Genomic DNA, 20,506 nt, shown 5'->3' with positions numbered 1-20,506 from the left:
GGTCTTGAGCTCCTGGACCCAAGTGATCCTCCCACTTCAGCCTCCCTGGGACTACAGGTGCACCACCTGTTGTCCCAGTGAGGACTGCCTCAGGGCCTGATATTAAGTGTCTAAAAACCAGGCAGATTTGCAGGGCAGTGCATCTGGATCTTTAAAAATCAAGGAAACCACTTTTACGTGAATCTTGGGTCTCCACAAAGAGCAAAATGCCATGATACCAGGCCACACAAACCTCCACAGCGCACCTCACTACAAAGACATTAAGCCACACCTTTCTTACCTAAATGTTTAAAAAATAAAATAAAATGAGTAGCTGCCTATAGTAATAACCATTCACCATAAACAACTGCTGTTAGTCACCTCCAATACTGTAGCTCTTGTCAGTGACTTACCAGCCATAACATACACAAAGGTCTCTTTCACAGTACAAAGTAATCTCTGGTACTCTCAAAAGCCAACAAGTAATGCAGTATGGAAGAGAGCAGAGTTTTAGACCTGAGAGGAACCTGTCCATGACTTTTCAGACTCCACAAGAAGACAGAATACCCCAAAAAGGGAGTGAATGGTGTGTTTTTTCAGCGTTCCTTGAGGGGTCTGAGTCGTTAGAAGTCTCCTTTAGATTTCTTCCTGTGGTATCAAAATAACAAAAGGAAGGAAGAGCAGAGTGGAAAGAAATAGAACAAGTTTAGCCAGGAACAGTGGCTCATGCTTGTAAGCCTAACTGTTTGGGAGGCGGAGGTGGTAGGTTCACTTGAGCTAGGAGTTTGAGACCAGCCTGGGCAAAATAGCAAGACCCTGTCTCTACATAAAAAAAGAAAAGAAAAACATTAGCTGGGTGTGGTGGTGTGCTCCTGTAGTCCGAGCTATTTGGGAGGCTGAGGTGGGAGAATCACTTGAGCCTGGGCGATTGAGGCTGCAGTGAGCTGTGCCACTGCACTCCAGCCTGGGCAACAGAGCAAGAGCCTGGAGATTTTAAATTTTGTAAAAGGCCAGTGAAGTTTTATATTTTTCTCAGCAAAAATTATGCCAGCAAGATTGGAAACAAACAGAAGACTCAAGGTATCAAACATATTTAAAAAGGGGTCTCAATTGACTGAAAAAAAAAAAAAAAGCCAAGAACCAGGATCCAAGAGAGGAAAAAAGCAGAAAGTCCTTTCCCCCCCACAAAAGATAGCCTAAATATTACTTTTAATTAAGCTTTTTTTCTTTTATTAAAAAAAAATACATTGCCCAGGCTGGTCTCAAACTCCTGGCCTGAAGTGATCCTCTCTCCTTGGCCTCCCAAAGTGCTAGGATTACAGGTGTGTGAGCTGCCATGCCCAGCCCTAAGTAAGCTGACTTCTGACCAGAGAACTCTAAAAAATAATCTTTTCAAATCTCTTATTATCAGATTTTAACCAAGACAATTATAAAGTAGGTCTCTCATTCAGTTTGTACGGTTCTAAAACCAGCTTTTTTTTTCCCTCTTGTGCTTGCAAATGAATTATTTTATACATTTCAGAGGATCCCTGTTTTGGCTGTTGCTGCTTATCAGCATCCCAAGTTAAGTGAGTCCACTTTCCTAGATATTTACAAGAGGATGTCCCATAAGTGTTATATATAAGTCATGCTGGTGTTTCTAAAAAGAGCACTCGAATTTTGAAGCTTAATTTTTCATAATTTACGGACTTTTCAAAAGTCATAAACTGCTTCTTTGGCTTTTGAAAATTCTTCAACTTGCCTGCTTTACAGTTTGGTAAGGCTGGGGAACATATGCCACACCCCTAGCTATGTTAGAAATAGACCTTATCAGCATCTAAGTAAATAATTAAAATAACTTACCAGATTTTTCATCAAAATTAAGAATTGCTAACAGTTACCATTATAACATGTAATTGAGACTACTGAGGATAGATTTACATGCAAGGTGTGTAAAGAATGTAAAACGTGTCTTTAGTAAAAGTATAAGAAGGCATGGGAATATACATTTTTGCCTAGTTTAGGGGGTTAAATGATTGTTTTAAATTAGGTAAGATAAAGCTAAATGTTTAAACAAGTTGTGGAAGATTTGTAAAGGTTAATCTTAAAAACAAAATTCTGTGTGGGAATACTAAATTCAAAAGGGTATTGTTTGTTTTTTTTTATAAAGTGAACTTGGGAATAAAACCACAAGGGTTTCTAAAGGCACTGTTCTACTCTTTAACAAAAATTTGTAAAGGGATTGTCAAGATAAAGATAGGGTTTAGTCTTCTTCAGGTTATATTTTGGTGAATAATACTTGTGTATGTTCCAAAATTGTATGGGACTTCAAAAATCCAAATGTCTGAGTATATGCTGTCAATCATAATTAGGGTTATCGTATTGGGTTATTGTAATCCACAGAGGTTACCAAATTTCTTAGTCATTTGTGTTTTTGAATGAAACGACCTTAGGATATTTTGGCATTCACAGACAATTGTTGTCTTGTTTTGATCCTCTTCAAAAGATGGATTATAGTCCTTGAGTACAGGTTTCTGATAACTTTGGAGATTGTGAACAGGAGTTGACTGAGTGATCTGAACTAATGGAAGACTGAAATAATCCTTTTTGACTTTTTGCTTGGAACATTGCTGCTCATTTGTTTTGTATTTCAGAGTCAAGGAAACTTTTCTCTTTTTTGCAGCTTTTGACAATTGTAGGGGTGAACCAACCAGTGATCTCTGACTGCAGCTCAAAAGAAATAAAAGGGGTGGGCTGTCAAACTCCAAATGGTCATGGAAATGGAGCCTCGGATGATGGCTCCCTTTTACTGGGGACCCTTAGGTAGGACCCTGAGAGGAAATCTGCTGTTTTCCCCAAAACAACACCAATCAGCATGAAGCTGACCCTTAGATAGGATCCTGAGAGAAAATCTCCTGTTTTCCACAAATTAACACCCTCTGTCAGCATGAAGCAGTTAAGAGCAGTCATCGTCCCTATCTTAACAGCAGTTAGATGTTCCTCTTCAGAGGGGGAATTCATGGCAGTGCCATCACACTGGCTGCAGCGGGGAGGCGTGGGCAGTGACAGCAGGAGTGGCTGCGGGAGCAGCAATGGCAGTGGTGGGTCCCCTATGCCTTGCGTCCCTGAGGCAGCCAACTGTGTGTCCCCCACCCTCACATGGCCAGGCAGGACCCATCCCCAGGTCCGGAGCCTCTGTTGCTCCAGACCCTGGCCCTGCATTGCCTCTCTTGCCTGCTGCCACTGCAGGGAGAGTGTGGGGAGGAGGCAGGGCTGGGCCCCGGGCAGTGCCTTGCTCCATGGAGCCAGTGGGAGCCAGGGACAAGCAGGAACCCCACTGGAGCCTGCTGCCCTGGGGGCTGCGCTATGGGGCGAGGCCGAGATGGGCGCCAGCAGGTGAGCAGTGTGGTCGAGCAGAGAGGGGCCGTGAGGCCAGGGTGGGCCTGGGGCAGTGCCACGCTTCTACACAGAGCATGGGGGCTGGGCCAGGGGTGCAGAGCTGGGGCCGCACGTTGGGGCCCCAGGGTGGGAAGTGGGAGCGGCGCCTGCTTTGGGGACCTGGCCAGCGGAGCACCCACCACACCCACCCACCACGGGCACTGCAGTGGGTTCTTGCACCTTGGGAGCAGCCTCCGCGGGGCCGCATCCCCGGGGTCCACCCTGCATCTGGGTGACTTCCGAGCCTGACACTTGTGATGGCCAGGACTGGGGCCCACTATCTGCTCCTGGAGGCCCCCTATCTGCTCCTAGAGGCCCCCTATAGGCAGGGCTGTGAGCCAAGCGACAGTGAGTCCCAGGCCACCCCTCAGCGCCAGGGCGACAGCAGGGAGCTTGTGGTGATGTCACTCCTGCTCTGAATATTTGCCCCGGCCCAATGAGGACCTGGAGCCCCCACCCCAGGCTGTGAGGAGGCACAGCTAGTGCTGGCTGCACACTTCATGGAGCAGATGAGAGCTCTGCCCTCCCAGGTGCAAAGACCTAGGCATTTCTGCACTCTTCACCCTCAGGGGCCCAGGAAGGTTCCCCCTGCACCCACAGGCTCAGGGGTGTCTTTTCCTGCTGCCTGGCCTCTCCCTGCTCCCAGTGCCTGCTCTGATCTCAGTGCAGGGTTTGGGCCAATCTGAGTGCTGTCAAAGCCCGGCCCAGTGTGTACACACTTAGGGCAGTGCTGACACACCAGCCCCTTGCTGCCTCAGCCCTCTCTGGACTTTGGGCACCAACAAGCATGAGGGGAATCCTGGGGGTGCTGAGGGCAGCTCAGCACTGGCCTGCAGGTGCCCCTTGGCACAAACAGGCTGGTCGCCATGGATGGTGGCAGGAGGCAGACAGTCTCCTGGGTGGAAGGGGGTTGGTCCCTGGTGAGGCCCCACCTTCAGGCCAAGGTGGGCCTGAAGGCTGAGGGCTGGGCTGCTAGTCCCACAGACTGGAATGGGTACATGTGGTGCCTTTTCTGGGCTGTCTGTGGCTGCCCATGGACCAGTCGGCATACACTTCTGCTCTGAGGCCCATAAATGCCCCAGGTTCAGCCACAGCAGAGAAGATGGGATGACCAGCTCCAGAGAGGAGCTACCCTCTCTGCTGAGAACTGAGTACTTGTTGAGATGACCTGCCTACAGAGAGGAGCTACCCTCTCTGCTGAGAGTTGAACACTCATTGGGATGACCTCCCTAGCAGAGAAGAGCTACTGTCTCTGCTAGGAGCCGAACACTCATCAGCACACCCTGGATGCTGAAAGGAGCTGCCCCCTGCAGGTCCCCTCTGAGCTGTTCTGTCACTCAGTAAAGCTCCTCTTTGACTTGCTGACACTCCACTTGTCTGTGTATCTCATTCTTCCTGGTTGCTGGACAAGAACTCAGGATCCATCGAATGGTGAGGCTAAGAGAGCTGTAACACAGTCAGGGCTGAGACATGCCCCTTGCTTGCCACATTGTGGGTGAAGAGAAAGAGAGAAGAGCTGCAACCCTTCATGTATCTGAGACCTGGGAGCTCCCTGAGCCAGGGCTGTGACTTTCTCCTTGGGACCCTACGGTTCCTGGCATCTCCAAGCTTCCAGATGCCATCGTGTTCCCCAGTGCCAGCTGTAGAAGCTGCTCGCGCTACGCCTGGTCCAGCTGTAGCCTTGCAGAGAGCCAGCACCTGGAGCTGCCCACCCTGCTGCAGCAGCCACACAGAGGTCTCCTGCCAGAAAAGTGACACCCCAAAGTTCCCATAACAAAACAACAGAGTGCCAAAATGTATCAAGCAAATGTTGAAAAATTGATCTGGAGAAGTAGACCATTTTATAATAATAGTTAGACCTCAGTATCCTCATTTTCAGTAATGGATAGGACAACCAACAGAAAATCAATAAGGAAAGAGAGGATTTGAACAACACTATAAACAAATTAGACCTAACAGGCGTATATATATATATAGAACACATCATCAAATAACAGCAGAGTACACATTTTTAACATACGGTGTTTGGAAAACTGTATATTCACATGCAGAAGTATGTGAAAGTTGGATTTTTGCCTTAACATTATGTACAAAAATTAACTAGAAATTTATTAAATACCTAAATGTAAGAGCTAAAACCATAAAACTCTTAGAAGAATGGAAAAAGCTTCAATACCTTCGATTTGGCTATGATTTCTTGGATGTGATACCAAAAGCACAGGCAACAAAACAAAAGATAAACCGGGCTTCATTAAAAGTAAAAAATTTTGTGTTTCAAAGGACACTATGAGGAGAGTTAAAGATAGCCCACAGAATGGGAGATAGTATTTGCCAATTATTTATTTGCTAAGAAGTTAATATCCAGCATATATAAAGAACTTTTACAGCTTAGTGACAGAAAACAACCCAATTCAAAAATGAGCAAAGGACCTGAGTAGACATTTCTCCAAAGAAGGTAATACAAATGGCCAATGGCCAATAAGCACATGAAAAAAATATTTAACATCACTAGCTGTTAGGGAAATGCAAATCAAAACCACAATTTGTTACCACTTCACACCCATTAGGATGACTATTTTACATACATACATATATATATACACATACATATATATATAAATATACATATATATACATACATATACACACATACATACATACATACACACATATCATTGGGGTAGCTGTGCATTGTTTGTGAGGATGTAAAATGGTGCAGCCACTGTGGAAAAGTTTATCACCTCCTCAAATTATTAAATATATAATTACCATGTGATTCTGCAATTCCACTCCTAGGTATATACCCAAAAGAATTGCAAGAAGGGACCGGGCGCGGTGGGTCATGCCTGTAATCCCAGCACTTTGGGAGGCTGAGGCGGGCAGATCATGAGGTCAGGAGATGGAGACCATCCTGGCTAACATGGTGAAACCCTGTCTCTACTAAAAATACCAAAAATTAGCCAGGCGTGGTGGCAGGCGCTTGTAATCCCAGTTACTCAGGAGGCTGAGGCAGGAGAATGAGTGAACCTGGGAGGCGGAGCTTTCAGTGAGCGGAGATCGCGCCACTGCTGGTCAGCCTGGGCGACAGAGCAAGACTCCATCTCAAAAAATAAAAAAAAGAATTGCAGGAAGGAACTCAAAACAGATATTTGTACACCAGTGTTCACAGCCGCCAAATGTGGAAACAACACAGATATCCTCTGCCAGATGAATAGGTAAATAAAATGTGGTATGTACATACAAAAGATTATAATTCAGCCTTAAAAAAAAGAATGAAATTCTGAAATGTGCTGCAATGTGAATGAACCTTGAAGACATTATGCTAAGCAATATAAACAAGACACAGAATAACAAATATTGTGTGATTCTACTTATATGGGGTACCTAGAATACACAAATTAATATAGACAGAAAGTATAATAGATGGTGTCAGAGTTTGGGGGAGGGGAGAATAAGGAGCTATTTTTTAGTGGGTATAGAGTTTTTATTTGAATAAAAAGTTCCAGATATAGGTGGTGGTGATGATTATACGACATTGTGAAGGTACTTAATGCCACTGAATTATACATTTAAAAATGGGTAAAATGTTAAATTTTATGTTAAGTTTATTTTACCATGATATAGATAAAGACAGACAGGGGGGTTGTGTATCCAATGGAGTTTGATTGATGTCTGGGAGAAAATTAGTCGGATTGATCTTGGGAAAGAAAAGGGAAAATAGGGTGTTTGTTACTCTAGTCTTCATAAAAGACAGACAGGGGGGTTGTGTATCCAATGGAGTTTGATTGATGTCTGGGAGAAAATTAGTCGGATTGATCTTGGGAAAGAAAAGGGAAAATAGGGTGTTTGTTACTCTAGTCTTCATAACTCAACAAGTGGCTATAATCCTTGGTGTTAATGAACTATTTTGTTTCATTTTAATTATGTCCAGAATTGTTATTTCTAGAATAACAGGTTAACACTGGTCATTTACTTTATAACTTTTAGATTTTGTAGATAAGAATCTGAATGAAATGAAGGGCTTTTCCTTTTCTGGTCTGAAGGTAAATAATAGGAACCTTGACAACAGTTACAAAACTCTATAGTGGTGAATTCTTCCTCTAGAATATATTACCCTTGGAGATTGTTCTACAACCATTATCCCAGCATTGCTTGTTCAGAGCCAGCCTGGAGACCAGTTAGCTCCTAAGATAGCCAGCAATGCTTAGAAGACTTTTTTTCTTAAAGCAGTTTATATTTTCTGCAAAGATGTATTGTAGCAAAATGGTTAAAAATTCATGCTTTGGAATCACACAGCCTGACTTAAGTCTTGGCTTTGCAAAGAGCTGTGTGACATTTTTGTAAAGTTGCTTAACCTGTCCATGCCTCACCTTTTAAACTCTTTGAAAAATGAGTACTTGTGTTTGTCAAGAAGATTAAATGAGATAATATATATAAAGTACATAGCATATTATTTGGTACATAATAAGGTCTTGGTAAACATTAGCTGTTGCTTCTGCCATTGCTCTTTTAAACAGGCTTAGGGTCCAGACCTATAGTCAGGAGTTCAAAAGAAGGGATTTCTTGTTTAACTTTCCAAGGTTCTTCTATTAGGCACACTTTCTTTCTCTCTTAATCCTATAGTGGTGTCATTCTTATGCTACCTTTACTATTTTGCATTTAGACTGCAAAATAGACACCCAGCAACCCATTTTAATCTTGCCATATTTTAAAATTTGTTGGCACATTATAACCAGAGCTCACTAAGCTCTTCATTCATTCACTAAAAAAAAAAAAAAAAAAGTTGAATCCCAGTCTTTTTTCTTCCTGCCTCTCCCCTCAACTCCTTTTGGACCTTAAATGCTAAGAGCTGAATTAATTATACCCTTTAGCTCCAAAGTACACTGTTATCATCAGTATGTTCCTCTCAGGTTCTTTTTTCACCCTTCATACCTAAACTCTATCCTGTATCTTTCTCCCCATAAGTACCCACTCTAATGTGTCTTTATATTTCTTTAAATATGCATGCATTTTTGTAAATAGTTAATATTTGTGTGTATGTTTTTATTTATAGGGAGGTGTTGTGTTATGAATATGAACATTACATTTTAAAACTCCATGTTTCTTTTTTTTTACATTTTTATATTTTTACAAGCCTGGTTACCTTGTAAATAGCTGTAATAGGTTTCTGTCTCATGGGTGGTCAGACTTTTCCTGTGAGTTAATGAAAAACTAAGAATATATTATTAAGGATCTTTTTTTTTTCCTTTGGTTTCAAATCTTTTTTTTTTTTTTTAATTTTAAGTTCTGAGATACATGTGCTGAACGTGCAGGTTTGTTACATAGGTATACATGTGCCATGGTGGTTTCCTGCACTATCAACCCGTTATCTAGGTTTTAAGCTCCGCATGCATTAGGTATTTGTCCTAATGCTCTCCCTCCCCTTACCCCCCACCCCCTGACAGGCCCTGGTGTATGATGTTCCCCTCCCTGTGTCCATGTGTTCTCATTGTTCGGCTCCCACTTATGTGAGTGAGAACATGCAGTGTTTGGTTTTCTGTTTCTGTGTTAGTTTGCTGAGGATGATGGTTTCCAGCTTCATCCATATCCCTGCAAAGGACATGAACTCATTCTTTTTTATGGCTGCATAGTATTCCATGATATATATGTGCCAATTTTCTTTATCCAGTCTATTGTTGATGGGCATTTGGGTTGGTTCCAAGTCTTTGCTATTGTAAACAGTGCTGCAGTAAACATATGTGTGCCTGTGTGTTTATAGTAGAATGATTTATAATCCTTTGGGTATATACCCAGTAATGGGATTGCTGGGTCAAATGGTATTTCTGCTTCTAGATCCTTGAGGAATCTCCACACTGTCTTCCATAATGGTTGAACTAATTTACACTCCCACCAACAGTGTAAAAGCATCCCCATTTCTCCACATCCTCGCCAGCATCTGTTGTTTCCAGACTTTTTAATGATCGCCATTCCAATTGGCATGAGATGGCATCTCTTTTGATTTGCATTTCTCTAATGAGCAGTGATGATGAGCTTTTCTTTATATGTTGTTGGCCGTATAAATGTCTTCTTTTGAGAAGTGTCTGTTCATATCCTTTGCCCACTTTTTGATGGGGTTGTTTGTTTTTTCCTTGTAAATTTGTTTAAGTTCCTTGTAGATTCTGGATATTAGCCCTTTGTCAGATGGATAGATTGCAAAAATTTTCTCCCATTTTGTAGGTTACCTGTCCACTCTGATGATAGTTTCTTTTGCTGAGCAAAAGCTCTTTAATTGATCCCATTTGTCAATTTTGGCTTTTGTGGCAATTGCTTTTGGGATATGTGGTCACCCTACTTATGCAAGATTTTTCTGGGCCATAGCCAATGATTAGCAAGATACGTATTGAATAGCCTTTCCCTTTCTGGTGGTTTCCAACTGACATCTGTTTCAATTGGTTGGTCCATATGCTGGATGATTGCCGCAGAGTTTAGATATCACACTTGCTAGAAACTACTCTTAAGGGGGATTTCTAGGTCACATGCCATAGACGTACTTAATAAGTTTGAGTTCCTGTTTATAGATGGGTGGAATTTTAAAATCTGTCTTCCCATTTTTTAGGAGATTTTGCATTTCTACTGTATATTTATTCATTCTTTCTCTGTCAAACTATCTAGTTTGGAGCTTTAGCAGCCATTAGTTTATTGACAACTACTCCTAGCGCCTTATCCCAATAGAGCAACTACTATGTAGTTTATGAAGATTTTTTTTCGTATTTTATGTTATTGGCCCCTAACACTTACCCATTGATGTAGACAGGGCAGAATTTATAATTCTTATTTTTGTAGAAAAGGAAGCTGAGGATCAGAGGTAAACTGACTTGCTTCAGTCCACATATCTGGTAAGTTATAAACTTAGAACCAAGTCTTCTGACTTTGATTTGCTTCTACAATATCTAAAAGGGACAGGGAAAAGGATAAATTTGGGTTTGTGGTTAAAATAGGAACTGTCCAGGTTAGCTTTATATCTTCCTCAGAGCATAACGTAATGCCTAACACATAGTAAATGTTGATTTGCTTCTGCAATATCTTAAAGGGACAGGAAAAAGGAAAAACTCCAGTTTGTGATCAAAGCAGGGAGTGTGCAGTTTAACTTTATGTCTTCCTCAGATGATAACACAACATCTTACACATAAGATTCAATCAGTAATTTTTACTGAGCAAGTGAACTGGGGATTATGTAGGTATCCGTACAGCCCAGGTTCAGTTGGTCATGCCACTACTTAATGCTGTGGTGACTCTTTTATTGCAGCAATGCTTTGGCTTATAGATACACCCAGTTCTGTAAATATTCTGGCTGAACAAAGGGCTTCAGGTCAGTCCAGGAGTTCTCATGTTAAATAGTTTGGTTCATTTACAACAGAAGTAGCAACGGGTTATAAATGTACCTATATAATATGACTTCGATGGGGTGTGTAGTAGACGGCTCTTTTTTGTTTATGGTAAATCTCGGTAAAATTTCTTCTACTCTTCCTTTTTTTTCTACAGTTAGCTTTGAATAACCAGTAGCAAAGTCCTTTCTGTTGCTAACTACTACATTGCATTCAGCTGCTTAACATTTGCTTCCTGTTCCCAAGATCACCAGAGGCAACTGTAGCATTTGATGAGGGTGTTGGATTTCATCAAAAGATTTTTCTACATAGTTTGTTCCAGCTTGGGAGAGGTGGGTTGGCCTTGGCCCCCTTGTTCAAAGCTGTCACAGTTTTGAAGTCATTTCAAAACCTTCGATAATCTTGTTCCATCTGCTTTTCCACCTTATCTTACATTTCTGTACCTTCTCCAATACTTCCTACCTTCTATGATACAAATTGAGGGTGCTCTAAGAAAATCATTTAGTAAGTTAAGCTACTATTTTTAATACCCAGCCCTTCAAGGAAGTTAAAATAGCATCTTCCAGAAGTAGCACCTTCTTATTTATTTTTTTAGAGAATAGGGTCTTGCTATGTTGCCCAGCCAGGTCACAAACTCCAGAAGTAGCACTTTCTATTATGTATATTATTTTAGAGAATAAATTCTTTCTATTATCTAGCTGCAGAGATTTTATGCACAAGGTATGCTTTTTATGTATTTTATTTTATTTTTGAGATGGGGGTCTCACTCTGTCACCCTGGCTGGAGTGCAGTGACACAATCTTGGCTCACTGCAACCTCTGCCTCCCAGGGTCAAATGATCCTCCTACCTCAGCCTCCCAATGTTGGTCATGTGCCACCACGCGTGTCTAATTTTTTGTATTTTTGGTAGAGACGGGGTTTCACCACGTTGCCCAGGCTGGTCTCGAACTCCTGAGCTCAAGTGATCCACCCACCTTGGCCTCCCAAAGTGCTGGGATTATAGGCGTGAGCCACCATGCCTGGCTAAGGTATGCTTTTTAACTTAAATGTTTCCTGTTGTGTCTTTGTTTGGTCATGTTTTTCTTTAAATTACAAATTGATTTGCTAGTGCTTATGTTAATACTGTGAGCTTCAGGTGTAAGCTTTTCTCCCACCAATGGGGAGAACTTTCAGAAAGCCCGCATATGTCTCTTTTTTATTTTTTTTTTTGAGATGGAGTCTTGCTCTGTCGCCCAGGCTGGAGTGCAGTGATGCAATCTCAGCTCACTGCAAACTCCACCTCCCGGGTTCACGCCATTCTCCTGCCTCAGCCTCCCGAGTAGCTGGGACTACAGGTGCCTGCCACCATGCCCAGGTGATTTTTTGTATTTTTAGTAGAGACAGGGTTTCACTGTGTTAGCCAAGATGGTCTCGATCTCCTGACCTTGTGATCCACCTGCCTTGGCCTCCCAAAGTGCTGGGATTACAGTCGTGAGCCACCGCGCCCGGCCCCCCGCATATGTCTCTTTAAGTATCTTTTCTATTGAGAACAGTGTAGGCTGGTGATTATGGTTATTCCTTCCAATTGCACCGCTAGATTTTTGGTTTGTTTCCAAACTATCTCCTTTGTCTTACACTGTGCCCCTGAATTCTACCAGTAGCTGACATTAAGAAAGCCCTAGAGAAGTTCCTTTTTCCTTTTTATTTTTTTATGCATAGGTAAAATCCTTTCCTAACAACGGTTTCTGTACAGTAAAATCCTTTCCAGCACTTAGTCATTGGTCCATAGAAATAGCACTTTGGTACTCAGTTTTCTTTCCTTCTCTTTTTTCTTTCTTTTAATATTTTGTTTTACTGTGGTAGGAACACTTAACGTGAGATCTACTCCGAACAGATTTTTCAGTGTATGATATAGTATTATCTGTAGGCACAATGTTGTACAGCAGATCTCTAGAACTTAATTCATCTTGCATAACTAAAATTATATGCATTTAAAATAGTTAAACTCATAAAAACAAATATTAGAATGGTGGTTTCCAAGGACTTAGGGAAGAGGAACTGGGGAGTTGCTAATCAACGAGTAGTCAGTTTTTTCTACAGTGAATAAAAGTTGTCAATTACTATGCCCAAGTATAGATTGAGTAGCCCAAATCCAAAAATCTGAAATTTGAAATGCTTCCAACTCCAAAATTTTTTAAGGGCCAACATGACGTTCAAAGGAAATGCTCATTGAAGCATTGCAGATTTCAGATTTTTGGATTAGGGATATTCAACTGGTAAGTTTAATTCAAATATTCCAAAATCCCCCAAATTCAAAATTCAAAACACATTTGGTCCTAAGCATTTTGGATAAGGGATACTCAACCTATATATGGTTGTACTTGAAGTAGCGAAGGAAGGGAGAGTAAATTTGGTGATTTAGTCCTACCATGAAATAGCAGTTACCTTTCTGGTTCTGAGGTTTCTCTGCCAATACCTACACCACTGCCTCCACCACCAAAATGGAAAAAAAAAAAAAAAAAAAGAAACTCTCAAGAGATTTTTCTAAAGCACTATCATACATAAATTCTCCAGAAGCTTGGGAGAAGGAAAGTGTGGAAGGGAAGGTATGGTTAGAAATCTCTCACACTAAATTAGGAACAGTTCATTTGATAATTGGTAAAAATGCATAGCTTCTTTTGATGAACACAGCTAACCCTGCTGTAGTAATATCAGGAATGTCAGGAATTGGGTCCTTTGAATACCATCAACAGGATCAAAACTAAATGTGAGTAGAAGAACTTACATCTAGGCTGGGCATGGTGGCTCACACCTGTAATCCTAGAACTTTGGGAGGCCAAGGCAATAGTGATTGCTTGAGGCCAGGAGCTCATAACCAGCCTGGGCAACTGAGCTATGAACTCCTGAGTAGCTGGGATTACAGGCGCCCACCACTATGCCCACTAGCAAGACTCTGAAAAAAAAAAAAAAAGAAAAAGAAGAACGAACTTAGAGTAATCACCATTATTCTTTAAGTTCTATATAGATCTTTCTTTATATATTGAACAAAACAGGTGGATCACTGTGTTTATATTTTCAGTCGTGCCTCATTTGAGTGAGCAACTCAATACTCTTGATATGGCTGACCTTGTTCATGACCATTCACCAGCTCCATCACAGGCTGACTCGCCAGCATCTCCTCTCCATCAGCCTTTCCTCCCCAGTAGGCTTTCCCTCCCTTTCTCTTCATCTTCTCTAATCTCTTTCTTTCTTCTTCACCCCCATCTTTTTACTCCTCCATGATTTTCTCAGGGCTGGGCTTCAACATCGTCGGTGGGACAGATCAGCAGTATGTCTCCAACGACAGTGGCATCTACGTCAGCCGCATCAAAGAAAATGGGGCTGCGGCCCTGGATGGGCGGCTCCAGGAGGGTGATAAGATCCTTTCGGTGAGAATGGGCTTCGGCCTCCTTCACTGTCCTTTGCTCCCTAAGCCCTAGGTCCTACCCCTCCCTATCCCTTTTCCTTGAAAAGATTTGGATCTGGAAATATACAGGTTGTAGAGTTGAATGGGAACAACTTTGATCAGTCATTCTTTCCAACCCTATCATTGAGCATGGAGGGCAACATTATGCTCACCTGATAGATGAGAATGTGAAGCCCAGAATGTGAAGTTACTTGTTCAAAAAGCACAAGGCAGGAAGCAGCGAGGGACTCATATGGGGAAAAGAGATTTAAAATCCACAAATTTTGTCTTTCATCCATTACTTTATCACCTCCTTTTGTTGATTAAAACACTAATGTGTATCTTCCTTTGGGGGAATGTCAGCCCTTATAATTGGATTTAACATCACAAAACAGAAAGAAGGAAGGTTGGAGTTAAGTGTCCTTTTCAGACTCAGAGCCCTTTTTCACCCATTATTAACATGAAAATTTGGAATGCAGTTGATTTGGGTACCTGTCCGCTGTGTTCCCATTTCATCCTGCTAATGTCTCTACGAAGACATACTACATGGTAATTATTAATCTTACTATTTTCCAGAATATTTCCTCAAGGGCAGTGAAAAGATCCTTTTTTTTTTTTTTTTGAGATAGATTCTTGCTCTGTCACCCAGGCTGGAGTGCAGGGTCGTAATCTTGGCTCACCGCAACCTCTGCCTCCCGGGTTCAAGCGATTCTCCTGCCTCAGCCTCCTGAGTAGTTGGGACTACAGGCCCCTGCCACTACGCCCAGCTAATTTTTTATATTTTTAGTATAGACAGGGTTTCACCATGTTGGCTAGGCTGGTCTCGAACTCCTGACCTCATGATTCGCCCACCTCAGCCTCCCAAAGTGCTGGGATTACAGGCGTGAGCCACCGGGCCCGGCCTAAGATCTTTTTTTAACCTTTTGAATCATAGCACAGTGCTTAATAATGTTTAAGAAATGAACAAGTTAAGAAATTCAGGCAAACCTAAAAAGGTTGACTGATAAATATGGGCCCACAGACCTCAGGTCTTAAAATAAATTAGAACAAGCATACAGTCAAAACTATTAAAATGCAAAATATAACTCTGGCCCTATTGTTCATTTCTCTACCTTACCATGGGCCACAGTAATCCTATGATACTATCAGTTTGCTGGGGGATAAGGGAGTATAGTTGGAGATAATTATTCTGTAGAATTTCTTTTTTTATTAATCTTCAGGACTAGTGAAAAATGGCCAGCTTATTACTTGTATGGAAACAGTGCAGATGATTGGTATAAAGAATGGAAAAATGCTGAGGGGGTGAGATATTATCTAGAATATTCTTGGGAGAGCTGGCTTCAAAGGGCTAGACTTAAATAAAAGGAAATTGAAATAGGATAGGGCTTCGGAGCCCTATCCTCTCCAGATGGGCCATAAGCCCATGGTCCGAAGAGGAGAAAACTATTCCCTGTTTTCTTTTAGAACTGAATAGGGCAAGATGGCCACGTTGGGAAAACGTTGAAATAAATGAATGAAGTACAGACAGGAGAAGTCTTGATTGGCAGAATTAAGTATTGGTCTCAGATACATGATTTTGAACCTACCTCTATAATGAGTTAGCTTCATCCCTTAAAAATTTTTTGCTATATAGTTTCATTTGAATTTTCCCTTTCACATTACTTCTCATGCAGTTCAGGTGATTAGTGATTAAAGGTCATATGTGTGAAATCTCTTGCTCTTCTTAGTTGTCAGCTTATTGAACACCTCTCTGCCATGAAGCCCATTTGGTAGCAGAACCTGAAGGCAGAGATACAAAGGAAAAGAGAGAGAGAACATCCACCTTTTCTTCATTTGGCATCTGAGTATTTGAGTGATCAGGCTCAGCAGTATGGTTCTGAATGCCTCTTCAGGAAGACTGTGACTCCACTTAGTCCCCCAAAAAGAAAGAAAATCAGAACAAGTAGCTATTAGAGCCACCTAAATTAGCTCAAGAATGTCTAAGCATGTGTCCTCGCTGATCCATAATATAAATATAGTATCAAGCACTGCAGTATTTCAGTCCTTCTCATTGACTATTCTGCCTCTCTTCAGTCCATTAAGCTTCTCCTAGACCCTGTTTATTAATCAGTGAGATGGAGACAGTGATAATATACCTGTCTTCTCAAAAGGATAGTGAAAAGTTTAGAAGCAGATTATTTCCTTTAGCTCCCAAGGAAAGACATTCATCCAATATGAATCAACTTGGCAGTGGTACTGTAAGGAATGCTGAGAGTGGGTTGTTAAAATAAAGGTGTAGCATTTAGTTAGAATCTATGCAGCTTAATATTTTGACACATAAATTACATTATCCTCAGAACACTGGAACCTGGGCTCTGTGGATGAAGAATAGTATAGGAGTTAAGAAGAGAAAGAAGAGAGCTGTATTATTTTAAAAGCTTTGGTTAAACGTAGATTATTGCAAAATGAGAATGGTGAGAAGTATTTGAGCACTAAATGTCAGGTAACATGCTAAGAACTTGAAATTTATTTTGTTTAATATTATAGTAATCCTATGAGGTGGGCATGATTATTGTGCCCAAGCCATTTGCCCAAGGTCACACAATTAGTAAGCAGCAAGGGACTCAAACTGGTTTGTCTGAATTTGTAGCCTTTTTTTAAACCACTATGTTATACTGTTATACTGCCTCCTAAAAGGTAAATGAGGAGCTAGGATTAGTTATCCTAAAGACAAAGTTACATGGTGAATTAATAGTAGATTGCATGTATGGTTTTATATAAAAACTAAAATTAGCCCAGGTACAGTGGCTCATGCCTGTAATCCCAGCACTTTGGGAGGCTGATGAGGGTGGATCACTTCAGGGCAGGAGTTCAAGACCTGCCTGGCCAACATGGCAAAACCCCGTCTCTACTAAAAAAAAAAAATACAAAAAATTAGGTGGGCATGGTGGCACGCGCCTTGGTGCACGCGCCTGTAGTCCCCCAGCTACTCAGGGGGCTGAGGCACGAGAATCGCTTGAACCTGGGAGGCAGAGGTTGCAGTGAGCTGAGATCATGCCAGCGCACTCCAGCCTGGGCGACGGAGTGAGACTCTATCTCAAAATAAAATAAAATAAAATAAAAATAAAATAAGATAAAAACTGAAATTCGTCTTTCTATAAAGGGTAGAATCAGAAATAAGGAAATAAACCTCAATGTAAAGAAGATTATTAGATACAAGTTGAGAACCTTATGTGGACCATTTCCTCACAGAGAAAATAAATTATTGAAAGGCCTCTCAAGTTTTAAAAAAGGGCTGGAGCTGCTGATAAATGATGGGAGATAAATGTCAATGAAGAGAAAAGTAGATGTCTAAATTTATAGCAAAGAAGATTTTACTTTACCAAAATATAAGAAATATAAAGATGTAAAAAGATATTAAATATTACAAAGATATGTTACAAGGAATGATATGTTTATGTTTTGGCCATTTAAGGAAAAGGCATCCAAAGAAGAGAGGGGAAAAGCCAGGGGAAGGAGAGGCAGAGATAGAAGACATATCAGGGGCTGTATCAATCTGTTTTCACACTGCTATAAAGATACTACGTGAGACTGGGTAATTTATAAAGAAAAGAGGTTTAACTGACTCACAGTTCCACTTGGCTGGGGAGGCCCCAGGAAACTTAAAATCATGGTTTTAAGTTTTAAGTTTAAACTTAAAATCATGTTTTTAAGGTGAAGGAGAAGCAAGTACCTTCTTCACAAGGTGGCAGGAGAGAGAGAGTAGGGGGAAGTGCCAGACACTTATCAAACAACCAGATCTAATGAGAACTCACTCACTATCACCAGAACAGCATGAGGGAAGTGGCCCCCATGATCCAGTCACCTCCCACCAGGTCCTTCCCATGACATGTGAGAATTACAAGAGTTTGCTTCAAAATTCTTCTTTCTAGATCCCATTCGTTAAGAAATACTATGAAACAGCCTGTTCCATCACTTACCCGTGACATCGTATTCCCTCTCTGTCCTTAAGTGAACTTCTAGGCCATAACTATGAAATGTACTTAAGTATTCATTTATTATTGGCTTTGAAGTCTCTGTAAAAATGATGCTAAATTATGTATTAGTCTAAATTCTCATTTAGTTTTTATGTATTTTCCTATGCTCCACGCATAGGTTATTTCTCCATGTTATAAAATATGCCCCATTTTTCCTCTAGTAATGTTTGCTAGATAAACTAAAAATGTATCTCTTCCTTAGCACATACCTATTTTAGATAGCTGATTTAAGTAACATTATGTGACATGTAAATTTCCTAGAGTTATTATTAGCTATTAATTTAACCTTTTCATTCTCCCCAAGTAATTCCCACATATTATCTTGCTTTCAAGTTCTAAAATTAAGTAACTGCATGGTTTATCATGTAGTTTCATGGCGTGAACCCGGGAGGCAGAGCTTGCAGTGAGCCGAGATCGCGCCACTGCACTCCAGCCTGGGCAATGGAGCAAGACTCCATCTCAAAAAAAAAAAAAAATAGTTTCCTCTTTCTCATCAAAAGTGAAATTTCATTTTTTATGATCACTGTAGATGATTTAAACTTAAGAAAGAAAAATTTTCTTAAATAATGACAGTAAATGATTTTTAAGGCCATGTTGCATCTGACAACCATGAAATAAAAATGGCTATTACGAAGGCTGGAAATTCCTCACCCATGGTTCATTTTGTGTGTGTATGCTGGCGAGAATGGTTTATTATTAGAATAAACCATTATGGAACCTGGAATAATTTAATTTTTATTTTTAGAAAAGTGAACTAAGTTTCTCATTCCTTGTGTGTCTGCCTAAATGAAGGGAGGTGAAGAATAGTCATTCCTCAGTGAACATGACATTTTTATTAAGCTAAGGGTGACGTAGCTGGTCATACTACACAGTTGAATGTTCCATTTTAACATGGAACAAACCCCTTATATAACAAAATGGCACAGATTGAGCCATTAGCCAGCTTCATTTCATATTCTGTGTGAGTACAGTTTTTAATTTGGTGAATGAAAGAGTTGGTTAGTCATCAACATTTATCAACTATTGTACTTAATGGCCTTCAGAGCACTGTGCCAAGTGCTATGGGAAAGTTACAAAGGAAATGAAACACTGGTCTCTGCGCTTACCTTAGAAATCAGTGAGAAAGACCCAGCAGAAACCCTCATCCAATCAGCTGCAGAGATGTTGAAATATACAGCAGCATTCTTTAAATAAAATACCTCCAGGGAAGGATCTTTGCCTTATCATCTCTTTATCTCCAGCATCTAGTCCTGTACCTGGCCCTGAGTAAGCATCTAATAAGTTAGTTCCGTGAATTAACCCCTGCATTATAACACACTGACTTTTTTGGATTGGATCTAAATAATCTATTTTTATGGTTTCTTCAAAAATTGATGAAAAAAGAGACCAAAAAATGTGGTTCATTGCAGGATCTTAGTAAAAAATTACAATATCCAGAGTATATTCTCACATCTATTGCGTATTAAATTGAGCCCATTCTTTCTCTATGTCTCTACATTTACAAGTCAGAGATCTTGTTTTAGAATATCCTGAGGCAATTCAAAATTCTTAATCAAAGAAAACTAATTTTAACTCAGCTGATTTCATAAGGCAGGAAATAGGAAACACATTTTAACATGCTAACAACCAGAGTTAAAGTAAAAAAAAGTATGTTTCCTCATCAGTTAACTAGAACAACACCATGCTCATTCTCTGAAACTTCAGAGTCAGCGAAATTTTCTAGCACATTGCAAATCTGCCATATCTTAGGTTCAATAAACCTTATTATGTCATGAGTTAAGGAAGCTGAAGTAGCAAGTTAATTCTGGGATTACTCAGCCGAGTAGCTTCTGGTACTAAAAGTGAGGTTCAAGGACCAGCAGTCTGGCCATCACCTGGGAGCTTGTTAGAAATGCAGAATCTCAGGGCCCTTCCCAGACCTACAGAATCAAACTCTGCATTATGAGATCCCGTGGTGAGCCTGTGCACAGTAAAGTTTGAGAACCACTGCTGTAGGCAAGTGTTTTTCAGACCTTTTAAATTATAACCTATAACAGGAATGACATACATTTCCTATTCGTCAAATGAGTGTGTGTGTGTATTTGAAGCAAAAGTTTAACACAACAATACTTTTCTATATGTGATGAATTTTGATATTTTGTTTTCTTCTAATTTCACTTTTTAAAAAATAAACAACTTTTTTGTTTTGTTTTGTTTTGTTCGAGACAGAGTCTCCCTCTGTCACCTAGACTGGAATGCATCGGCGCAATCTCAGCTCACTGCAAGCTCTGCCTCCCGGGTTCACTCCATTCTCCTGCCTCAGCCTC

At 40.8% G+C, this 20,506-nt stretch overlaps 2 protein-coding genes across 4 annotated transcripts in view, besides 1 other annotated feature; both read left to right on the top strand.

Moving 5' to 3' along the window:
• SYNJ2BP-COX16 (SYNJ2BP-COX16 readthrough) overlaps positions 1–20,506 on the top strand; it is a 92,010-nt gene that overhangs the window by 14,454 nt on the left and 57,050 nt on the right. For all 3 annotated transcript variants that reach the window (NM_001202549.2, NM_001202548.2, NM_001202547.2), the window contains exon 2: positions 14,031–14,167. In NM_001202549.2, the coding sequence (NP_001189478.1) occupies positions 14,031–14,167 (137 nt within the window). The remainder of the gene's footprint in view (positions 1–14,030; positions 14,168–20,506) is intronic.
• The window catches only part of SYNJ2BP (synaptojanin 2 binding protein), a 50,592-nt gene that overhangs the window by 14,454 nt on the left and 15,632 nt on the right, over positions 1–20,506 (top strand). Inside the window, exon 2 of the mRNA NM_018373.3 lies at positions 14,031–14,167. Within this exon, the coding sequence (NP_060843.2) occupies positions 14,031–14,167 (137 nt within the window). The remainder of the gene's footprint in view (positions 1–14,030; positions 14,168–20,506) is intronic.
• Positions 2,776–3,336: an enhancer, noted in NCBI's record as "H3K27ac-H3K4me1 hESC enhancer chr14:70866018-70866578 (GRCh37/hg19 assembly coordinates)". NCBI's record gives its function as "activates a minimal SCP1, AML or CMV promoter by ChIP-STARR-seq in naive H9 embryonic stem cells {active_cell/tissue: H9 hESC(naive)}" and the evidence as "EXISTENCE:reporter gene assay evidence [ECO:0000049][PMID:30033119]".

Source organism: Homo sapiens, chromosome 14 (assembly GCF_000001405.40).
Source record: "Homo sapiens chromosome 14, GRCh38.p14 Primary Assembly".
Classification (NCBI taxonomy): domain Eukaryota; kingdom Metazoa; phylum Chordata; class Mammalia; order Primates; family Hominidae; genus Homo; species Homo sapiens.
This window is presented reverse-complemented; position numbering and strand designations above follow the sequence as displayed.